This window comes from Homo sapiens, chromosome 4, assembly GCF_000001405.40.
Source record: "Homo sapiens chromosome 4, GRCh38.p14 Primary Assembly".
NCBI classification, from domain to species: domain Eukaryota; kingdom Metazoa; phylum Chordata; class Mammalia; order Primates; family Hominidae; genus Homo; species Homo sapiens.
The window spans coordinates 164,457,789-164,478,323 of NC_000004.12; the positions used below are offsets into that span (position 1 = coordinate 164,457,789).

The 20,535-nt window shown below is 36.6% G+C and overlaps 1 annotated feature.

Annotated features, from left to right (window-relative positions):
- Positions 1,936 to 2,136: a silencer, noted in NCBI's record as "peak5144 fragment used in MPRA reporter construct". NCBI's record gives its function as "represses an SCP1 promoter by STARR-seq MPRAs in K562 erythroleukemia cells {active_cell/tissue: K562}" and the evidence as "EXISTENCE:reporter gene assay evidence [ECO:0000049][PMID:32103011]".

Sequence of the window (20,535 nt, forward strand, 5' to 3'; positions counted from 1 at the left end):
AAATAATATTCTACCACAAAAATAATGAAATCCTATCATTTACAACAACATGGGATATTATGTGGAGTGGAATAAGTCAGGCACAGAAAGATAAGTACTACATCTCACACATTGATGCTATAAAATTTGAGCTCATACAATATAATAGAATGGTGGTTACTAGAGGCTGGGAAGAGTGGCAGGAAGGGGGATAGAAAGGGCTTGCTTAACAGATACAAAATCATAGCTAGATGGGAGGAATAAGTCCTGGCATTCTATAGCACTGTGGGGTGGTTATGGTTAACAATAATTTATTGTATATTTTCAAATAGCTAGAAGAGAGGATTTTGAGTGTTCCCAACACGAAGAAATGCTCAACGTTTGAGGTGATGGATGTGATAATTACCCTGATTTAGTCATTACAGATTGTACGCATCTATTGAAATAACGCTTTGTACCACACGAATATGTGTAAGTATTATGTGTCAATTAAAAATAAAATTTTTAAAAAGTATGGTAATGTAAAGCTGATATGGTTTGGCTGTGTCCCCACCCAAATATTATCTTGTATTGTAGCTCCCACAATTCTCAGATGTCATGGAAGGGACCCAGTAGGAGGTAATTGAATCATGGGGGCAAGTCTTTCCCATGCTGTTCTCGTGAGAGTGAGTAAGTCTCATGCGATCTCATGGTTTCGTAAAGAGGAGTTTCCTTGCACAAGCTCTCTCTTCCCTGCTACCATGTAAAATGTGAGTTGCTCCTCCTTGCCTTTCACCATGATTGTGTGGCCTCCCCAGCCACATGGAACTGTGAGTCCATTAAACCTCTTTTTCTTTATAAATCACCCAGTCTTGGGTGTGTATTTATTAGCAGCATGAAAATAGACTAATACAGTAAATTGCTACCAGTAGAGTGGGGCACTTCTGTAAAAATACTTGAAAATACGGAAGCAACTTTGGAACTGGGTAAGAGGCAGAGTTTGGAACAGTTTGGAGGGCTCATGTGGGAATGTTTGGAACTTCCTAGAGACTTGTTGAATGGCTTTGACCAAAATGCTGATAATCATGTGGTCAGTGAAGTCCAGGATGACTTGTTGAATGGCTTTGACCAAAATGCTGATAATCATGTGGTCAGTGAAGTCCAGGATGACTTGTTGAATGGCTTTGACCAAAATGCTGATAATCATGTGGTCAATGAAGTCCAGGCTGACTTGTTGAATGGCTTTGACCAAAATGCTGCTAATCATGTGGACAATGAAGTCCAGGCTGAAGTGGTCTCAGATGGAGATAAGGAACTTGTTGGGAACTGGAGTAAAGGTGGCTCTTGCTATGTTTTAGCAAAGAAACTGGTGGCATTTTGCCCCTGCCCTAGAGACTTGTGAAACTTTGAACTTGAGAAAGATAATTTAGGATATCTGCAGAAGAAATTTCTAAGCAGCAAAGCATTCAAGATATGACTTGGATGCTGTTAAAAGCATTCAGTTTTAAAGGGGAAACAGCATAAAAGTTCAGAAAATTTGCAGCCTGACAATGCAATAGAAGATAAAAACTCATTTTCTGAGGAGAAACTAATTTTCTGAGCAGAAATTTGCATAAGTAACAAGGAACCAAATGTTAATCACCAAGACAATGGGAAAAATGTCTCCAGGACATGTCAGAGACCTTGCAGCAGCGCCTCCCATCACAGGTCCAGAGGCCTAGGAGAAAAAAGTGGTTCTGTGGGCTGGGCCCAGGGCTTCTCTGCTCTGGCAGCCTAGAAACTTGGTGCCCTGTATGCCAGCTGCTCCAGCCATGGCTAAAATGGGCCAAGCAACAATTCAGGTGGTGGCTTCTTAGGGTGCAAGCCCCAAGCCTTGGCAGCTTCCACATGGTTTTGGGCCGGCAAGTGCAGAGAAGTCAAGAATTGAGGTTTGGGAATCTCTGTGTAGATTTCAGAGTGTGTATGGAAATGCCTGGATACCCAGGCAGAAGTTTGCTGCAGGGGCAGGACCCTCATGGAGAACCTCTTCTAGAAGAGCGCAGAAGGGAAATGTGGGATCAGAGCCCTTACACAGAGTCCCTACTGGGGCAACGCCTAGTAGACCTGTGATAAGAGAGCCACTGTCCTCTAGACCACAGAATGATAGATCTACCAACAGCTTGCACTATTGGGCTGCTTCCAATTTTGGACTATAGGTTGAGTATTCTGTATACAAAATGCTTGGGAAGAGACGTGTTTTGGATTTTGGACTTTTTCAGATTTCAGAATCTGGAAATGCACCTGGAAGAGCCACAGACACTCAATGACAGCCTGCAAAGGCAGCCAGGAGCAGGGCTATACCCTTCAAATCTACATGGGTGGAGCTGCCCAAGGCCATGGTAGCCTACCTTTTGCATCAGTGCAACCTGGATGTGAGATATGGAGTCAAAGGAGATCAGTTTAGAGCTTTAAGATTTGACTGCCCCACTGGACTTTGGACTTGCATGAGGCCTGTAGTCCCTACATTTTGGCCAATTTCTTTCATTTGGAATAGCTGTATTTACCCAATGTTTGTACCCTGATGGTATCTAGGAACTAACTTGCTTTCAAATTTACAGGCTCATAGGCAGAAGGGATTTGCCATGTGTCAGATGGAATTTTGGACTGTGGACTTTTGAGTTAATTCTGAAATGAGTGAAGACTTCGGGGGAATGTTAGGAAGGTATGATTGGTTTTGAAATGTGAGGACATGAGATTTGGGAGGGGCCAGGGGCAGAACTATATGGTTTGGCTGTGTCCCCACCCAAATCTCATCTTGAATTGTAGCTCCTGCAATTCCCACGTGCCATGAGAGGGACCCAGTGGGAGGTAACTGAATCATAAAGACAGGTCTTTCTCATGCTGTTCTCATGATAGTGAATAAGTCTCACGAGATATGACGGTTTTATAAAGAGGAGTTCCCCTGCACAAACGCTGTCTTCCCTGCCACCGTGTAAGATGTGACTTGCTCCTCCTTGCCTTCTGCTATGATTGTGAGGCCTCCCCAGCCACATGGAACTGTGAGTCTGTGAGTCCATTAAACCTCTTTTCCTTTATAAATCACCCAGTCTCAGGTATGTCTTTATTAGCAGCATGAAAACAAATGAATACAGAAGCTTTGGTCTGAATGTGGAGTGAGGTATACACTGCTGTTGGGAGTGTAAAGTGGCATAACCACTTTGGAAAGCTGATAGTGTCTATCAAACCTATATTTTATTATTAATTATTTCATTATTTTATTCCACTTCCAGGACTCTTCTAAGAGGTATGATATATATATACATCCAAAAACATGAACAATAATGTTTAGGGAAGTATTGTTTGCAATATAGATTGAGCATCCCTGATCTCAAAATTTAAAATTAAAAATGCTCCAACATCCCAAACTTTTTGAGCCAGAAGTGGAAAATTCCAAATATGACCGTATGTGGTGAGTCACAGTCAAAACTTTGTTTCATGCACAAAATTAAAAATATTGTATAAAATTACCTTCAGCCCATGCATATAAGATATACATGAAACATAAATGAATTTCATGTTTAGACCTGGGTCCCATCCACAAGATATCACATTATATATATGCAAATATTCCAAAATCTGAAAAATTCAAAATCCAAAACACTTCTGTTCCCAAGCATTTTGTATAAAGAATAATCAACCTGTAGTCCAAAATTAGAAGCAACCCAACAGTTCTTTAATGTTGGAGCAGATAAATAAATGGTGGCATATTCAAACAAAGGAAGACCACATATCATTTCAAGGAAACACGTTATGTGAAACAACATTGATAAATTTAACAAATTTTGTCAGATGCAAAACAATATATTTATATATGAAATTCAAAAACAGGCAAAAACCAGTATGTGGTGACAGAAATCAAGATCATGGTTGCCTTTGGGGAGAAGGTAAGGGTAGTGACTAGAAAAGGACCCAGAGAGAGGTTTCTGGGCTACAGGTAATATTCTATTTCTTTATTTGTGTATTGGTTGCATGAATATGCTTACTTTGTGATAATTCATATATATAAGCTATACATGTATTATTTATTTCTACATTTATTTACTACAGAAAAAGAAGTAAGGTTTATTTCTATAGTAAATAAATGTTAAACTTATTTTAATGAATAAAATGTATTTAGGTTTTATTATTAAAGGTTTTATTATTTTAAATAAAATGTGAATAAAAATAAGCAATTCTAGTTAGGACTCTGTTTTTGAGAATTAGCTTTGTGAAGACCTTTCCCTGAAAGAAGTGTGTCCAGTAGTTCGTTGAGATTACATTACCAAAGAGCACAGAATTGGGAATAAAGGTACCTGGGTCCTAGGTCCACTCTGACATAACTAGTTCTCTTACTGGAACTAGTCATGTGACATGTCTGGTCTTCCTGTATTCTTTAGTGAAAGAAGGCTTTTGAGCTAATCTTTAACATTTCTCTCAACTTTAAAAGTCTCTTGGTTCTCATGATTCCTCTAATCAGATATGCATTGATTGCTGAGCCTATGAAGTGTACGCTTTCCTTCTTACCCAGTTACAGTAAAATCCAGATTAAAGAGAGGGGAATGTCAGTGTTAAGAAGAGCATATTATATGGTATGTTGGCAAAGATTCATTTACAAAAGTACACAATGTGCCACGAAACACATGCAGTACAAAGATAATTTTTTCCTTTCCATGTGACCTTTTGAAATCAGAAATATTATTTATAGAATCCCCCCATGCCATTTATGCACAAAACATTTCTGACCTTTGCAAATGCAAGGCATAGAACTCTGAGTGTGATTTTAACAGTCAATTAATAAAGATTACAAAGATATTTACCCATGTAGTTAAAAAGAAAAGTTTCTTAAAAAACCTTTAAAGCAGCCAGGTAAATAGCCTAATAAATGATAAAGGTCATGTTGACTAGAGAGCACACTCCCTAACTCTTCTAAATAATCATTGCAGTCTGGCTGTTGTCTGATAAGAGAGTTAATTACCCCATATTTCAATTTTAAAAGCAACCTGAGATCTCAATTAAATGCTCAAGATGTGAAAAAGTACCAGTTTTTGTTGTTTTCATCCATTTTCTTTGTGATGTGAACATGACAATTTGGTGATAGCAGTACTTTCCCTTTCTTGTTCCCTTCTGAAGCCCATAATCCCTTCCTGGGTGCTTCTGAGTTCTAACTTATGATATCCCCATATGGTTGGAGGAGAGCTAATTAATTTCCACTACTGTTGTAAGTTTTCACAGTGGGATTTTTGTTTGCCATCACAGTGTCCTGAAGACCAGGACATTACTCCTCAAACATACAATGACTTGCCCGTTCACATCTTTGAGCCAGTTTCTTGAAATCCATCAATGGGTGTGAAATAAATTTTATACTATGCCAACCTGCCTCACACATTTTCTTTTCATTCTAATAATAATTTTTAAATTATTATAATAACAAAGTGGTATTCCAACATCAGACTTTTCAGTCATTACTTTATCTCTCTCTCATACCTCAGTATAGGGAGCATATTCATACAGCTCTAAATTTAGGAAACTTCCAGCTCTATTGTTCCTTGCTTTTCACATAAATTCCCCATTCATTTTCTGTTCCTCCTTTTTCTTTGTAGCCCCATTTTTCTTTGCCTCATCAGCATGTCCTGTCATAAGTGTTTTCAGTCTAACCACTGCAAAAATGAGCCTGGCCAAAAAAGACTTCCGTCACAGTTGCTCCATCAAGCTTAACTTTTCCTTGCTAGGGTCATTCCACAATTTAGATGGCAATTATGGCAATTTTAGCTAATTCAGAGTGGAGGGAGACATTACAATATTTAATATTGCAATTTTCAGGTGCAGTATTTTTGGAACCTGCATAACATCTGCAAACTGAAATGAACAATATTAAGCCAACAACAGGCAATGAAATATCCAAGGAGTTTTTGACTAGGAGTTTCCCATGGCTTCTTTCTATTCTATTTCTACTGAAAAAGAGACTCACACAAAGACACTAAATTAAAAGAAACATTTAATACATAGGTGTTTCAGAAGTCTTATTAAAGTATATATTGTTAAATATTGGAAAAGCACTCTGGCCAAGAGTTTAGTGCTGCTTTTAAACAATAACTTATGTACACACATTCAGCTGCCTATATTCCACTCTTAATTCTCATGTTACTAGGAATTTAAAGCAAAATTACTTGAACTCCATGGCCACCCACAGTTCCATAACCAAATCTGTGAATAAAAGCTGTTAACAAAATATGATACTAAGCTAACTATAGATAATATAACTGGTTATAATAAACTGAATTTTGATGTTTTAAAAAGCAAATTATTTTTTGTTGAGGTTATATGTTTTTGCAAAGACTACGGCATTTTTATTTAAAAAAAAAAAAACTTCCAGAAAACAAAACGGAAAACTATTGATGGCCAAACCTTAGACAGAATAGATTATTCAAGTATGTAAACTGATTCTACCTTTTTCTGGCCAAAAAACTGAGTGGAGTCAGAGCTCCTAATGTCCTTGAAGTTACTAGCTATACTGGCTCCTAGGATATCAGTGTAACGGACAGTTTTCCACCAAATATGAAGTTGCTGGTAGATGCCAGGCCCTGATAGGCAGGTGAAGAATGAGAAGAGGTAAGTGAATCAGCAAACAGAACAGGGTAATGCTGAAAGCTATGTGGAGACATCTTTTCCAACACCCAAAGATCAAGATAATAACTCAGCATGCATGATGGTCTGGGTGATTGATGGATATCACCATAGTAATGAGTACCAATCAGCCATTTCAAGAAGAAAATTGAGTTTAAGTAGCTGACAAGCACTGTGTGTGGATAACAGTCTGAAATCAAACTGTGAGTATAATTCAGTCATTAACATCTCCACAGCCAACCAGATGGATTTTCTTTCATCCCTGAAGGTCCATTTTATGTTGCATAGGTAGTGCCTGAATTTGAGCGTCATCTTCTTTTATTTCCATTTCCCATCTTCTTATGGAAACACTAATGAGCTGTAAAAATAGCCCAGAGGCAGACAAAATAGGGAGGAGAAATAAAGGGCAAGGATAATCTACAAACTAAAAAAATCATTCCCAGAAAAATCAAGAGTGTGTTAGTGATGCCTTAAAATGATGAAAATTATCTCCAAAAATACTTTTTAAAAAAACTTATTGGAAAATATTAAAAATGTCTTAAACTTCCTGCCACAGAAAACTCATGTTCATGCAACTTTGATTTGGCTGCTCTTACAAATGAAAATTGTCCATAGAAGAATGGCTGAGTATAGCATGCTTATGAGATCTTAGCACTCGAGGGCTAGATTTTCTGAAGTATCTAAATAACGTAAGGATTCAGGTGTGAAAGAAATTGTATAGAAGGCTAGAAATAAAAACATTGCGAGGGACTTAACTAAATGTCAGCTGAAATACAGGAAACCTGGACAGGGTGAGTAAATATTAGACTGAAAAGGGAATTGCATTTTCAAGACCATACTGTATACCTAGCGAAATGCTGGGCGCTGGCACAAATATCATTTTATTTAATACTTAACAACCCAGTGAGTTCACTGTTACTATCCTTACTCAGATGACAAAACAAGACTGAGAAATCAACTAACTTGCTCAAGATCACAACTAGAAAATGTTAAAAAGAAAGGCTTTCTGATTACAAAGCCCTTGCTCTCCTTCACTTCAGACAATTCTCTTAGGGATAAGAGCAAATAAATAGAAGGAGTTGGGGAGTGAGGCAGATGACACAGGTTCAGTGGGTTTTTCAGAATATTTTAGTTTTTTTGTCTAACAAAATAAATCGGGAAAATCCTTTGCACAGTAAATTAGGCTTCATTAAAATGAATTTACAGAAGTTTCTGAAAAGCAGATACTTTATTAAATTTTTATAACACATAAAGATTGGTCATTTGTGTTATTACTCCCAGATTGCCTTGTAGAGTGTCTGCATGAAGTGTTTGCTGAGTAACGAGAAGACAGAAACTAGATAATGTCTGTAAGAAAAGATCTTTCTTACAATCCCCTGAGGAAGTAGCCAGATTACTCATTTGTGTCTTGGTGCTCTATCATGGTTAGAACTTCCACAGAATTTTGCTGATTTGCATTTCGGATAGGGCACTCTGGTATTAACTCTCCTGTACTTTGGAAGTTTAAGTTATTCTCCTAAGAAAGGAGCTTAAGATGTAAATATATTAAATAAGAACACTCTGTTTAGAGTGATTTAATATAACAATAATCATTTTATGTTAATGCACTAGCACACAGTCATCTGTTTTAGTAGGAAAATAAATTTTCATTTAATCTCACTTTTTCTCATCTAAATGTCTCACTTGTCCACATCTAAATTACATAGATAATAAAGTTAATTTAAATGTTCATTTAATGTGATGTACAAGGCCATTTAATATTATATAAATGGAATGATTTCATCATTTTCATTCCTGAACTAGATATATTGTTTTCAAAAATGACCTAAAAATCTTTTTTGATTTTGTATCCTCATCAGTACAAATATTTTAAGTATATACAAATGTATGTATATTTATAACACACATACTCACACACACAAACACTCCTTTTCCAATGGCCTCCCAAAGTGTTTAACTCCCTGTCCCAAATGAAGAAGCCAAAGCACAAAAACCTGAGGATTTTTCTCTAAATGAAACAAAATTGAATAAGCTTTCTGGATTCTGGACTCCTGAACTGGGCAATATGGCCCTGACATTGTCAGTCACAAGGAGGTTTCTCATCACATTAGCTTACCAACCAAACAGCTCAAAGTGATGCCTAGCTATCAAAAGACCAGCCCAATACATCAGCTCCAAATCAACTTTTTGTTTTGTCTCAGTCCTTCTTAGACAAACGCAAATTATCAAATGTTTAAGAAATGCCTTGAATATAAAAGAAAAAAATCAAACTTAAAAAAGATTCAAATAGGAATAATTCAGGAGAAAGAAGAGACCTTTAAAAAATTAGTACCTCAGAGTCACTTAACAACTTAAGTACATACATAGAACAAGAATAGCATGGCTGTTCAGTGAACAAGAAAATAATTGTGAACTTAAAATACTTATTCTGGAAATAAAAATAAATAGATTCAGGATAAAGAAGAAATACAGTGTGCAAGTGGCCACAATAATTATGCCTGTATATTTCTTGATTTACCAAAATTCAAAAATGATACGAGGTAAGATAAAATTCACATAGAAATAAAGTTCTCTGCCTTCTGAGTCTAAAAATTCTAGAGAGAGAGAATAAAGAAATGTGGATAAGAAAATTATAAAAGAAATAATACGAGTATTTCCTAGAATTAAAAGACCCAAGCTTTCTTATTTAAAGGCCTACCAAAAAGCCAACAAGATAAGCAAACATGCAAACAAATAACCAAGTAGAAAACACATGATTGTAAAATTTCAGAACAGCAATAATGAAAAGAAGATTTGAAACATTCCCACAGAGGAAGTAAAAGATTATTTACAAAGGAACAAGAACTAGACTAACGTAAGACTTTTTGTCAACAATAAATGTTAAAAGAAAATGGAGCCAATTGTGTTAGGCCATTTTAGGTTGCTATAGAGGAATACTTGAGGCTAGGTAATTTATAAAGAAAAGGGGTTTAGTTGGCTCATGGTTCTGCAGGCTGTACAAGCATGGAAGCAGCACCTGCTTATTCTGAGGGCCTCAGAAGCTACAGACATGGTGGAAAGGAAAGGAGAGTTGGTGGTGTCACATGGGGAAAGTGGGAGAAAGAGAGATGTGGGGGAGGTGCCATACTCTTTTAAACAATCAGATCTCATGTGAACTCAGGCAAGAACTCACTCATCACCAAGGGGATGGAGCTAGTCATTCATGAGGGATATGCCCCCGTGACCCAAGGAGAAGAAAAATCACCTGCTCCAGGTAATTCTGCATCATTGAACCATGATGATGTCCATGATTGGACATCTGATGCAGATGACGTTGATGACTAACCAGTGTATTGTGTGTACAGTATGGATAAGCTGGACAAAGATATGATTCAACATCCAGGCAGGTGAAGTAGAATGGAGCAAGATTTCATCATGCTACTCAGAAAGGGTGCAATTTAAAACTTATGAATTATTTCTGTAATTCCCCATTTAATATTTTTGGACAGCCGTTGTCCATGGGTAACTGAAACTGCAGAAAGTAAAACTGCAGATAAACAAGAGCTACTGTATACCTAAAAATAGCTAAGAGTTAGATTTTAAGTGTTCTCATCACAAAAAATGAGATGTGAGGTAATTGATATATTAATTAGCTTGATTTAGCCACTCCACAATGTATACATATATCGAAACATGTTGTACACCATAGATACAATTTTTATTTTTCAATTAAAAGCAAATATATAAAAATAAATAAAATAAAATAAACATTTGAAAAAAGAGATGAAGGATGGAAAAATAGATACTGTAATTGAGAACTTACCAAAACTTGAGCACATTGTAAAAGTAACTGATGAAGTGCGGTAAGGAAAATATATTGGAAATAGAGTAGACACTATAAGGATTCTTCTTGGAAAGGCACAGGGCATTGGACCCAAAGGAAAAGAAACAGAAAGCTTGTGCATGGCTTGGCTTTAAAGCTAATGAATATGCAAATGATGTTTACTCATTTCTACCTTTATAATCAAATCACAGAAGACTATTCATACAGGAGGGAATATAATTATCTGTGTTCTCAGTATAAAAGTAAAGATGCATCTGACAGAGGTTGAGAAGCCTCAAGGGGAGAGAAGAGCTTTCTAGAACTGATGTAACAAGGAGCAGAGATTTAGGCAGTTTGAGTTTGCAAGGTGGCCGGCAAAGTCCCTGAGGACAGTGATATAGCTATTGGCAGAGGAGAGGTAAGGCAGGTGAAGGTTTGTATACATGAGCAAAGCCTCACCTTTTATTACAGAAAGTCAAGCTATAGTATCTAAATTTGATAAAACATAAGCACATATTATTTAGAGCCATGTGGCAACCATGACAAAAAACTAAAACAGAGGTTGACTCAAGAGAAGCAAACTGGAGAGGTTGGAGGGGTGATACAGGCCAATGTGACTGTTCATTATTATCCCTTCCCTTATTTGATTTTTAGCCATGGGCATGTTTACTTTGCTATTATTATTTTTTAGATTTTGAGGGTAAACTCTTGCATTAGGTTAGGAATTCTGTATAATTTCCCCTATAATGGCCAAAGTATTGCCATTTCTTTCATTATCTCTGAATCAATGAATTGTGATGTTTTTAGACTAGAAAAACACAAAACATATAAGAACAGTGTTCAATCCTCAGCAGTGAGTGCAACTGGATTCCATTCCGATAGAAACAACAATACAGAGTTTTATTCTCCCTGAACAGGTGTCAACACTTTGTAACATCAAAAGTCAAAAAAGAATTTTTGAAAATGGATTCTGATAAATTCTAGTCCCAGCATATGTTAATAGGTGATCCTCGAAAAGGGAAATCTGTTATCAAAACTCTTGAAAATCTGCATAATATTTACCTTCCTTGGAGTGTACATTAACATATCAAAATTCTCAATGTTGCACCCAAAATTTCCCTTACTTATTTGGTATATGGAGCTCTATGATGGGAAATTTTATGAAATGCAGTTTAGGAAAGACTAGGTTACAGGATTTCTGAAATAGTAGTGATTGTATGTCATTAATGGTTTTAGATTTGTGACAAAATTGATTTCATAATGCCCATTGTACACATTATTGCATTCAAATCTTGTAAAAAGCCAGTTGCTTTGTGTTATGTAATCAACACATCCAGTGGCATAACAGAGTTGCTATTTGTAGAAGAACAGATTAAAAAGAAGAGAAAAATTATTATGTAGCACTATATTTAAAACATTTTATGAATTTGTTCAGTAACAACTGTAGGCCTGACTTTGAATAATGCTGAATACTTAGGGAGACAGAGCCCCAATAAGTGAAGACATAATGTCTGAGTTTGCTGTTGAAATCACTTCAGATCTCATTATCATCAAAAGTAAAATGAAAAAAGGCACACAATAAATCCAACTTATATCACACGTATACTTTGAAGTTAAGATAATCAAAGTCAGTATTAGAATTTAAGTTCTATTAAAAGGTACAACGTTTCTGGGAACTATTTCCCATTAATTATTTATATCTTGACAGACACACACAAGCAGAGAATCAAAAGAACAGTTTTAGACAGATTTCCAGTGAAGCTTCAAACATCATCTATATTTCATACTGGGAACTGTTAAGTTCACCAGGAGGGAAAGTGGTTCAATGTTGCTTTGGTGCTTACCAAATTTGAAGGTCTTTGGCATAGGAACTTTAAACCAGAAAAATTTTCCTGGCAATAAATAAATATTGATCAACTCCTCATTGCTCGTTCAGTTGTCTTTTTTTATATATATATATATATATTTTTTATTATACTTTAAGTTTTAGGGTACATGTGCACATTGTGCAGGTTAGTTACATATGTATACATGTGCCATGCTGGTGCGCTGCACCCACTAAGTCGTCATCTAGCATTAGGTATATCTCCCGATGCTATCCCTCCCCCCTCCCCCCACCCCACAACAGTCCCCAGAGTGTGATATTCCCCTTCTTGTGTCCATGTGATCTCATTGTTCAGTTCCCACCTATGAGTGAGAATATGCGGTGTTTGGTTTTTTGTTCTTGCGATAGTTTACTGAGAATGATGATTTCCAATTTCATCCATGTCCCTACAAAGGACATGAACTCATCATTTTTTATGGCTGCATAGTATTCCATGGTGTATATGTGCCACATTTTCTTAATCCAGTCTATCCTTGTTGGACATTTGGGTTGGTTCCAAGTCTTTGCTATTGTGAATAATGCCACAATAAACATACGTGTGCATGTGTCTTTATAGCAGCATGATTTATAGTCCTTTGGGTATATACCCAGTAATGGGATGGCTGGGTCAAATAGTATTTCCAGTTCTAGATCCCTGAGGAATCGCCACACTGACTTCCACAATGGTTGAACTAGTTTACAGTCCCACCAACAGTGTAAAAGTGTTCCTATTTCTCCACATCCTCTCCAACATCTGTTGTTTCCTGACTTTTTAATGATTGATTGTCTTTTTACTGCTACCAAAACTACCCAAGTGTTAATACACTTAATTAATATTTATAAAGGTTGATGCACTGTCTGTTTCTGCTTAGTTTTAAGTTGCAATAACTAGAACTTCATAAGATATTCTGAATGCAAAGAAAATTCATGGGAACTAAAATATGACTAGAACATAGAATATGCCAGAATCTCTGCTGAGTCACTTGCATCACTTATTTACTTCTTTTGCAAAAAAACTTTTGTGGATACATAGTAAGTATATATATTTATAGATTACATGAGATATTTCGATACAGCCATGCCATGTGTAATAATCACATCAGGGTAAATAGGATATCCATCATCTCAAGCACTTATCCTTTGTGCTACAAAAATTCAATTATACTCCCCTAGTTATTTTAAAATGTACAATTAAGTTATTTTTTACTACAGTCACCCTGATATGCTAGCAAATACTAAGTCTTATTTGTTTTTTTCTAACTATTTTTTTTTGTACTCATTAACCATCCCCAGTTCCACTACTTCCCAGCCTTTGGTAACCATCTTTCTGCTATCTCTGTAAGTTCAATTATTTTAATTTTTAGTTCCCACAAATAAATGAGAACATGCAGTATGTCTTTCTGTGCCTGACTTATTTCACTTAACATTACCATCTCCAGTTCCATCCATGTTGTTGCAAATGACAGGATCTCATTCTTTTTTTATGAATAGTACTCCATTGTGTATATGTACCATATTTTCTTTGTCCACTTACCTGTTGATGGACACTCAGATTGCTTCCAAATCTTGGCTATTGTGAATAGTGCTGCAATAAACATGGGAGTGCAGATATGTCTTTGATATACTGATTCCCTTAATTTGGGGCAAATACCTAGGAGTGAGACTGCTGGATCATATGGTAGCTCCATTTTTAGTTTTTTGAGGAACTTCCAAACTCTTCTTTTTAGTGATTGTGCTAATTTACATTCCCACCTACAGTGTATGACGGTTCCCTTTCCTCCATTTTACCAGCATTTGTTATTTCCTCAATTATTGTAGCTTTAATTTGCATTTCTCTGAGGATCAGTGATGTTGAGCACCTTTTTACACGCCTGTGTGCCATTTGGATATCTTCTTTTGAGAAATGTCTGTTAGGATCTTTTGCCCACTTTTTTAATCCTATAGAGCTGTGGGGATTTTTTTATAGAGTTGTTTGAGCTACTTACATATTCTGGTTATGAGTCCCTTTTCAGATGGGTAGTCTGCAAATATTTTCTCCCATTCTGTTGGTTGTCTCTTCACTTTGCTGATTGTTTCATTTGTTTTGAAGAAGTTTTTTAACTTGACATGATCCCATTCACCCATTTTTGCTTTGGTTGCTTGTGCTTGTGGAGTATTATTCAAGAAATCTTTGTCTGCCCTGATGTCCTGGAGAGTTTCCCCAATGTTTTCTTTTAGCAGTTTCATAGTTTGAGGTCTTCTATTTAAGTCTTAATCAACTTTGATTTGATTTTTATATATGACGAGAAATAAGAGTCTAGTTTCATTCTTTTGCATATGAATATCCAGTTTTTCCAGCATCATTTATTGAAGAGACTGTCCTTTTCCCAATGTGTGTTCTTGGCACCTTTGCCTAAAAGCAGCTTATTGTATATGTGTAGATTTATCTCTGGGTTCTCCATTCTGTTCCACTGATCTATGTGTCTGTTTTTATGCCAGTACCATGCCATATTTGTTATTATAACACTGTAGTATAAAGTCAGATAATGCGATTCTTCCAGTTTAGTTATTTTTGCCTAGTATAGCTTTAGCTATCCTAGGCCTTTTGTGGTTCCATATACATTTTAGGGTTTTTTTCTATTTCTGTGAAAAAAATATCTTTGGTATTTTGATAGAGATTTACATTAAATCTATGGATTGCTTTGAGTAATATGGCCATTTTAACAATATTGTTTCTTCCAATCCATGAACATGGAATCTCTTCCCATTTTTTGGTGTCCTCTTTAATTTCTTGCATCAATGTTTTATACCTTTTATTGCAGAAAACTTTCACCACTTTAGCTAATTTTTAGGTATTTAATTTTATTTGTAGCGATTATAAACAGAATCACTTTCTTAATTTCAGATTGTTAGCTGTTGGCATATAGAAATGATTTTCTTAGAGGAAAGTCAGTTTTCTACTTTTATTCCATTGTGGTCAGAGATTTTTGTATGTTGATTTTGTATCTTGCGACTTTACTGAATTTATCAATTCTAATATTTTTATGGAGTCTAGATTTTTCCAAATATAAGATTATGTTATCTATAAACAAGAAGGATTTGACTTTTTCTTTTCCAGTTTGGATGCTCTTTATTTTTTTTCTGCTGTCTAATTGCTCTAGCTAGGACCTCCAGCACAATGTTGAATAACAGTGGTGACAGTGGGCATCCTTGTCATGTTCTAGATTTTAGAGGAAAGGCTTTCAGTTTTTCCCCATTCTGTATGATACTAGCTGTAGGTTTGTTATATAAGGCTTTTATTATGTTGAGGTATGTTCCTTCTATATCAAGTTTTTTGAGGATTTTTATGAAGTGATGTTTAATTTTATAAAATGCTTTTTCAGTATGAATTTAAATGATCTTATGGATTTTTTTACTTTATTTTATTGATATGATGTATTACATTGATTGATTTGTGTATGTCGAACTCTCCTTGTAATTTCACTTGGTCATGATGAATGATTTTTAATGTATAGTTAAATTCAGTTTGCTAGCATTTTGTTGAAGATTTTTCCATCAATGTTCATCAGAGATACTGGCCTGTGGTTTTCTTTTTTTGGCATGCCTTTGTCTGGTTTTGGTATTAGGGTAACACTGGCCTTGTAGAATGAATTTGTAAATACTCCCTCCTCCTCTACTTTTTCTTGAGTAAGATTGCAATTAGTTCTCTGTAAATGTTTGGTAGAATTCAGCAGTGAATTCATCAGGTCCCAGGCTTTTCTTTGCTGGGAGACTTTTTGGCTTCAAGCTCATTACATGTTACTGATCTGTTCGGATTTTTTCATGGTTCAATCTTGGAAGGTTGTTTGTGTCTAAGAAATTATCCATTTCTTCTAGGTTTTCCAATTTGTTGGCCCAAGGTTGCTCATACAGGCCACTAATGATGCTTTGAATTTCTGTGGTACCAGTTGTAATGTCTCCTGTTTCATCTCTGATTTTATTTGGGTCTTCTCTCTTTTTCTCTATTAGTCTGGCTAAAGTTTTGTCAATTTTGTTTATATTTTCAAAGAAAAACCAATGTTTTGCTTTGTTGATGTTTTGTATCTTTTTTTCTTTTTTTTAATTTTATTATTATTATACTTTAAGTTTTAGGGTACATGTGCACAATGTGCAGGTTAGTTACATATGTATACATGTGCCATGCTGGTGTGCTGCACCCATTAACTCGTCATTTAGCTTGTTTATGCTCTGATCTTTATTATTTCTTTGGTTGTATCAATTTTGGGTTTGGTTTGCCCTTGCTATTCTTATTCTTTAAGATGCATCATTAGGTGGCTTATTTGAAGTTCTTTATTTTTTTATGTAGGCATGTAGAGCTATAGATTTCCCTCTTGGTACTGCTTCTGCTGTATCCCATAGGTTTTGGTATGTTGTATTTCCATTATCATTTGTTTCAAGAAATTTTTCAATTTCTTTCTTAAATTCTTTATTGACCCACTGGTCAGTCAGGAGTATATTGTGTAATTTTCATGTGTATGTATAGTTTCCAAAATTCCTCTTGTTATTGATTTCTAGTTTTATTCCATTGTGGTCAGTGAAGATGCTTGATATTATTTCAATTTTTTTAATGTTTTAAGACTTGTTTGTAACCTAACATGTGGTCTCTCCTTGAATATAATTCATGTGCTGAGGAAAATTCTGCAGACATTGGATAAAATGCTCTGTAAATATCTGGTAGGTCCATTTGCTGTATGGTGCAGATTACCTGCAATATTTATTTGTTGATTTACTGTCCAATGCTGAAAGTGGGGTGTTGAAGTCTCCACCTATTATTGTATTGGGGTCTATCTCTCTCTTTAGCTCTAATAATATTTACTTAATATATCTGGGTGCTCTAGTATTGGGTGCATATCTATTTATAATTGTTATATCCTCTTGCTGAACTGGGCCCTTTATCATTATATAGTGACCTTCTTTGTCCTCTCTTTTAAATTTTCTCTTAAAATCTATTTTGTCTGATATAAGTATAGCTACTCTTGCTCTTTTTTTTTTTGGTTTCTATTGGTGTTGAATATCTTTTTCCATCCCGTTACTTTCAGTCTATGTGTGTCTTTGTAGGTGAAGTGTGTTTCTTGCATGCAACAGGTCACTGGGTCTTGTTTTTTTAATCCCTTCAGCCACTCTGTGTCTTTTGGAGAGTTTATTCCATTTACATTTAATTAATGATAAATTAGAACTTACCCCTGCCTTTTCATTATTTGTTTTTTGGTTGTTTTGTGGTCTTCTTTTTCTTCTTTCCCGTTTCCCTTTAAGTGAAGGTGATTTTCTCTGGTATTATGATTTAATTTATTGCTTTTTAATTTTCATATCTCTGTTGTAGACTTTTTGGTTTGAGGTTACCATGAGGCTTGCAAATATTATCTTATAACCCATTACTTTATGCTGATGGCAACTTAACACTGTTTGCATAAACAAACAAGAAAAAAATAAAACTAATAAAAACTACACACCTGCTTTTTAACTTTTTGTTGTTTCTATTTATATCTTATTGTACTATGTCTTGGAAAGTTTTTATAGTTATCATTTTTGATTGATTCATCTTTTAATCTATTTAAGATAGATTACACATCACAGTGATGATGTTATAATATTCTGTGTTTTCTGTGTATTTACTATTAACAGTGAGTTTTGTACCTTCAGATGATTGCTCATTGCTCATTAATGTCCTTTTCTTTTCTGACTGAAGAACTGCCTTTACAATTTCTGGTAGGTCAGGTCTGGTGTTGATGAAATCCCTCAGCTTTTGTTTGTCTGGGAAAGTCTTTAATTTTCCTTCATGTTTGCAGGATATTCTTGCCAGATATACTATTCTAGGGTAAAAGTTTTTTTCCTTTAGCACTTCAAATATGTCACACCACTCTCTTCTGGCACTGAAAAGTCTGCTGCCAGATGCATTGGAGCTCCATTTTATGTTACTTATTTCTTTTCTCTTGCTGCTTTTAGAATCCTTTCTTTATCCTTGATATTTGGGAGCTTGATTATTAAATGCCTTGAGGTGGTCTTCTTTGGATTAAATCTACTTGGTGTTCTATAACCTTGTTGTACTTGGATATTGATGTCTTTCCCTAGGTTTGAGATGTTCTCTCTTGCTATCTTTCTAAATAAACTTTCTACCCCTATCTCTTTCTCTACCTCCTCTTTAAGGCCAATAACTCATAGATTTGCCCTGTTGAGGCTATTTGCTGCATTCTGCAGATGTGCTTCATTGTTTTTTATTTGCTTTTCTTTGGTCTCCTCTGACTGTGTACTGTCAAATAGCTTGTCTTGAAGCTCACTAACTATTTCTTCTGTTTGATTAATGTTTTTAAAAGACTCTGGTGCACTCTTCAGTATGTCAGTTGCGTTTTTCAACTCCAGAGTTTCTGCTTGATTTTTTTCTAATTATTTTAATTTCTTTATTAAATTTTTCTGGTAGAATGCTTCTCTGTGTTATCTAGAATTTCTTAGAGTTTCCACAACACAGCTGTTTTGAATTCTCTGTCTGAAAGGTCACATATCTCTGTTTCTCCAGCATTGGTCTCTGGTGCCTTATTTAGTTTATTTGGTGAAGTCATATTTTCCTGGATGGTCTTGGTGTTTGTGGATGTGTCAGTATCTGGGCATTGAAGAGTAAGATATTTATGGTAGTATTTCCAGTCTGGGATTGTTTGTACCCATTCTTTTTGAGAAGGCTTTCCAGATATTCAAAAAAATTTGGGTGTTGTAATCTAAGACATATCTGCATTATGGGGCACCCTAAACCCAATAATGCTGTGGTTCTTGCAGACTCATAGAGGTACCACCTTGATGGTCTTGGATAAGATCCAGAAGAATTCTCTGGATTACTAGGCAGAGAAGAGACTCTTATCCTTTTTCCTTACTTCCTCCCAAACAGAGTCTCTCTCTCTCTGTTGTGAGCCTCCTGGAGCTGGAGGTGACACAAGCACCCCTGTTGCCACCACCATTGGGACTGTGCTGGCTCAGACCTGAAGCCAGCGTGGCACTGGGTTTTGCCTGAGGTCCACTGTAACCACTACCTGGCTACCACCTATATATGCTCAAGGCCCTAGGGCTCTATGATCAATAGATGGCAAAACCAGCCAGGCCTGTGTCCTTCCCAGATGGGTCCAGAGCTACTGTCCAGGAGCCAGGGACTAGAGTCAAAAATCTTAGAAGTCTACCTACTATTCTATTGTACTGTGGCTGAGCTGGCACTCAAACCATGAGATGTAGTCTTCCCACTCTACCCTCCTTTTTCCACAGACAGAGGAGCCTCACCCCATGACCACCACCACAGCAGGCCCACAGGGAGTACTGCTATGCTACTGCCAATGTTATCTTAAGGCCCAAGGGCTCTTCAGTCAGCTTGTGGTGAATGTTGCCTGGGCTGGGACTCACCCTTCATGGCAGTGGGCTCCCTCTCCCCAGGGAAGGTCCAGAAATGCCATGTAAAAACCATGGCCTACAATCAGAGACTCCAACAGCCCACTTGATGCTCTACCCACCCTGTGGCTGGGCTGGTACCTAAGGTGCAAGACAAAGTCCGCTTTACTTTTCTCTCTGCTTTTCTCAAGCAGAGGGATTGTTTCCCTGTAGCCACCACAGTTGAGAATTTGCTGACTCTTATCTGAAGCCAGCAAGTCTCAGAGTCTCACCCAAAGCCCTCGGCATACTACCTGGGCATTGCTTCTGGTTATTCAGTGCCCCAGGGCTCTTTAGTTAGCAGGTATTTGGTCCTGCCAGGACTGGATCCTTCCCTTCAAGGCAGCAGGTTCTTTTCCTTCCCAGGGTGTGTCTAGAAATGTCATCTGGGAGAAAAGGGGCCTCATGACTCTTCCTGGTGCCCTATACTACTTTGGCTGAGCTGCTATCCAAGATGCAAGAGTAAGTCCTCTTTACTTTTTTTTCTCCTCTTCTCAAGTGGAAGGAAGAAGTTCATTTTGGAGCAGAGAGCTGTGCATCTTGGGGTTGAAGGATGGGTGGTACAAGCACTCCATTAGCCACCCTGCTGGTGTCTCTGTAGGTCTTATGGACCCCAAGTGCATTAGCTCTGAGCTGAGTTGAGCACTAGGACTTGTCTAAGAGTTTCATTTCTTGTGGCCTAGACTGACTTTCACGTTTATTTAGTTCTCCAGAGCATTTTAGCCTATGGAGGGGAGTCTTGCCAGAACTCAAGTTTGAACTGCTGGGATGGGTGATTCCCCTCTGGCTAGAGGTGGTTTAAATACTCCCTCCATGGTGGGCATCAGCTGAGTTCAGCCTGGTTTTGCTT